Source organism: Homo sapiens, chromosome 2, assembly GCF_000001405.40.
Source record: "Homo sapiens chromosome 2, GRCh38.p14 Primary Assembly".
Lineage (NCBI taxonomy): Eukaryota > Metazoa > Chordata > Mammalia > Primates > Hominidae > Homo > Homo sapiens.
In genome coordinates this window covers 59,518,214-59,520,758 of record NC_000002.12, presented here as the reverse complement: position 1 = coordinate 59,520,758, position 2,545 = coordinate 59,518,214, and the positions used below count along the sequence as shown (strand labels likewise).

Here is a 2,545-nt window from a genome sequence, read left to right as displayed (position 1 = left end):
TGATGGCAGTCATCTTAGAGATACGCTACCATAGTGAGCTCTTTCTTCTATCCTCTTTTTGCTGATCAATGTCTCAAAGTATGCAAACATTGCCAATGTTCTACCTGTCACTCACCCCAACACCAAGCTCCTCACTATCCCTTGCCCATCTGGGTTGTGTGTGCGCATGCGCACACGCACAGCGCATCATTGTCTGCTGATTAATACCTGTCTCATTCATACACTGATCCACCCCCCTCCACCCCACTGAACCTTTGTTTTCAAATTGAGCTCATCACTACTAAGATAAAAGTTTAGATTTTAGCACTAAATACTCATATAGAGCAAAAAAAAATCTGGTCCTTAGTCATCCTTGTCTTCCTAAGGCTAGCAGCCATGACAAAATATACATATATGATCACAAGAAAAAAACAGGAAAAAGTGCAGGTAGCTAGGTTAATGTGACTATATCTAAGAAAGTAGCAGGTCAATATCAGTGTGTGTGTGTGAACACATGCATACCTATGTGTATATATGATATGTGTGTGTGTGTGTATGTGTGTGCATGTGTGTATCGGACTATTCAAGGTTAGTGGTATGGGCAAAACAGCAGTAGTATATTTAAATAGAACAACAAATCCTAAAATTCTGAGACTATAATTCTTCCATAGGTCAATATTAATTTTTCTTTGACCTTAAGTTGGTAGGTAATTTCCTTATGCGCTTTCATCATAGGCTGCACTAAAACTATTTTAAGTATTTGCTTAGTTGCTTAGGTTTAGTTTTTACACGTGTCTAATTTTTATAATGAAACAAGTAGGATGCACTTTTATTCTAAATACTAATGGTGATAGCCCTAATGAATTCAGGATGCTTCCATATTATGTATTGGTGAAAATGCAGTGACAGACATGAAACTTCCAAGCATATCCTGCCAAGGAAATGTACACAAGGGAAGTATATGGAAAGACCATTTGCGAAGCCATAGGAATTCCCCATATCTCCTTAATATGGTATTAAAACGATTTTAATTGTGCACACACACCCACAGACCTCCAAGGGTTAACTGCACACAATGTAATGAATTCAATAATGATGAGTTAAAAAAGGTCTAATTAGCAAGTAACCACTTTATTATGAAAGAAAATGGTAATGAATTTAATAGCTCAAAATCATTAACAATATTTAGTTTGCTGGTACTTGTTCTCTATTATCCTCATTAATATGAACATTTAATATGTTTTAAAATGGATTTGTAATACTTTCTGTGCCATGAGGTTACACTGACAGAAAGAGTGTAATTATTCTGCTAATTGTTATCACTGTATGTTTGTGCTTCGAATAGAAGTATATTTAGGTGTTAATACCAGAAAAGAAGTAATTAAGAAAGGAAAGATTTAAAACCTAATTAAACAAAAACTCAAAAAAAAAATCTTAGGCCACTATAAGAAAAGAATTTCTGAAGTAATTGCTTTTGAAGGTACTTTTTTCCTCCTTACTAACTCAATTTTTCTATTGTTTTGAATTTCCTGAAGAAGGGAAATAAAGTTATCTAAATTAAAACTGGGACAAAATGAAAGAAACAGAAAAACGTCAAGATTCACTTTGTGCCAAGTGAAGTTGATTCTTTACAATGTTCCTGACTGCCATGAAGCCCGTTCTCTGCCATGGGTCCCCTTTGATGATTGATAGCCCGATCTTACACATGGAGTCTCTGTGGCTCTGTTCCCTTCCCTGCCCTTACCTGAGATACCTCCCGTTTCTGTTGTGCCCTAAAGATCCACACACATGCCCCACTGAGGGCCATTTCTACTGAGATTCATGATAGCTTTTTGTTCCTCTGAGTATCTTATAGTCACCAGAGCCACTAAAGTTAAAAAAAAAAAAAACAAAAGTTTTAGCCAGAAATCCTCAGACATGGAAAATATCACAGGGCAAAGAAGACAAATGTTATTTGAGCATCATCTAACATTGTCAGAGATGAAAGAGAAAGACGGAAACACGCAAGCAAACAAACAAGCAGCTTCCTCCCAACAAGGACTCTGAGACCCTTGATAAACGGGCAGTTCAATATGCCACTGATAGCTGGTGGTAGGACATTCTTCTTATTTTTGCCTGCTTGAAAACAGAAGTTTGATCATTTTCACGTCATTGATAGCCAGATACCACTCTACTGGGTTCAGTATTCTCTTGCAACTTTAAGATCCAACTCCATTTGAGGTTTTCTTTTTTCCTTCTGGATATACATAATCACAACTATGCTTGTCATTCATTCTTTTGGCCAATATTCATTGAACAGATAACTATTCTTGTCCTCTGCAAACTCCTCCGTTGCTTTAGGAGTCTTCTTTGTGATTTCACTTTGATGTTGCAGAGCGAGACCTTGTCCCAGTGCTCTGTTTACTGACCAGCCATGACGATGCTGATAGGCCAGGATTAGCGCCTGTATACGCTGCTTCCACCATAGTGTCTTGGCAACGTGCATCTCCATCCGGTTTCCTATTGCTTTAGGTTCAGCCTATTACCTTCCTTGGGGGTTTTGCTGGCAACAGGATACCCCCAAGTT

General features: G+C 37.7%; 1 annotated feature.

Moving 5' to 3' along the window:
• Positions 902 to 1,517: an enhancer, noted in NCBI's record as "VISTA enhancer hs394". NCBI's record gives its function as "enhancer in: midbrain (mesencephalon)[4/11]" and the evidence as "EXISTENCE:transgenic organism evidence [ECO:0001131][PMID:17130149]".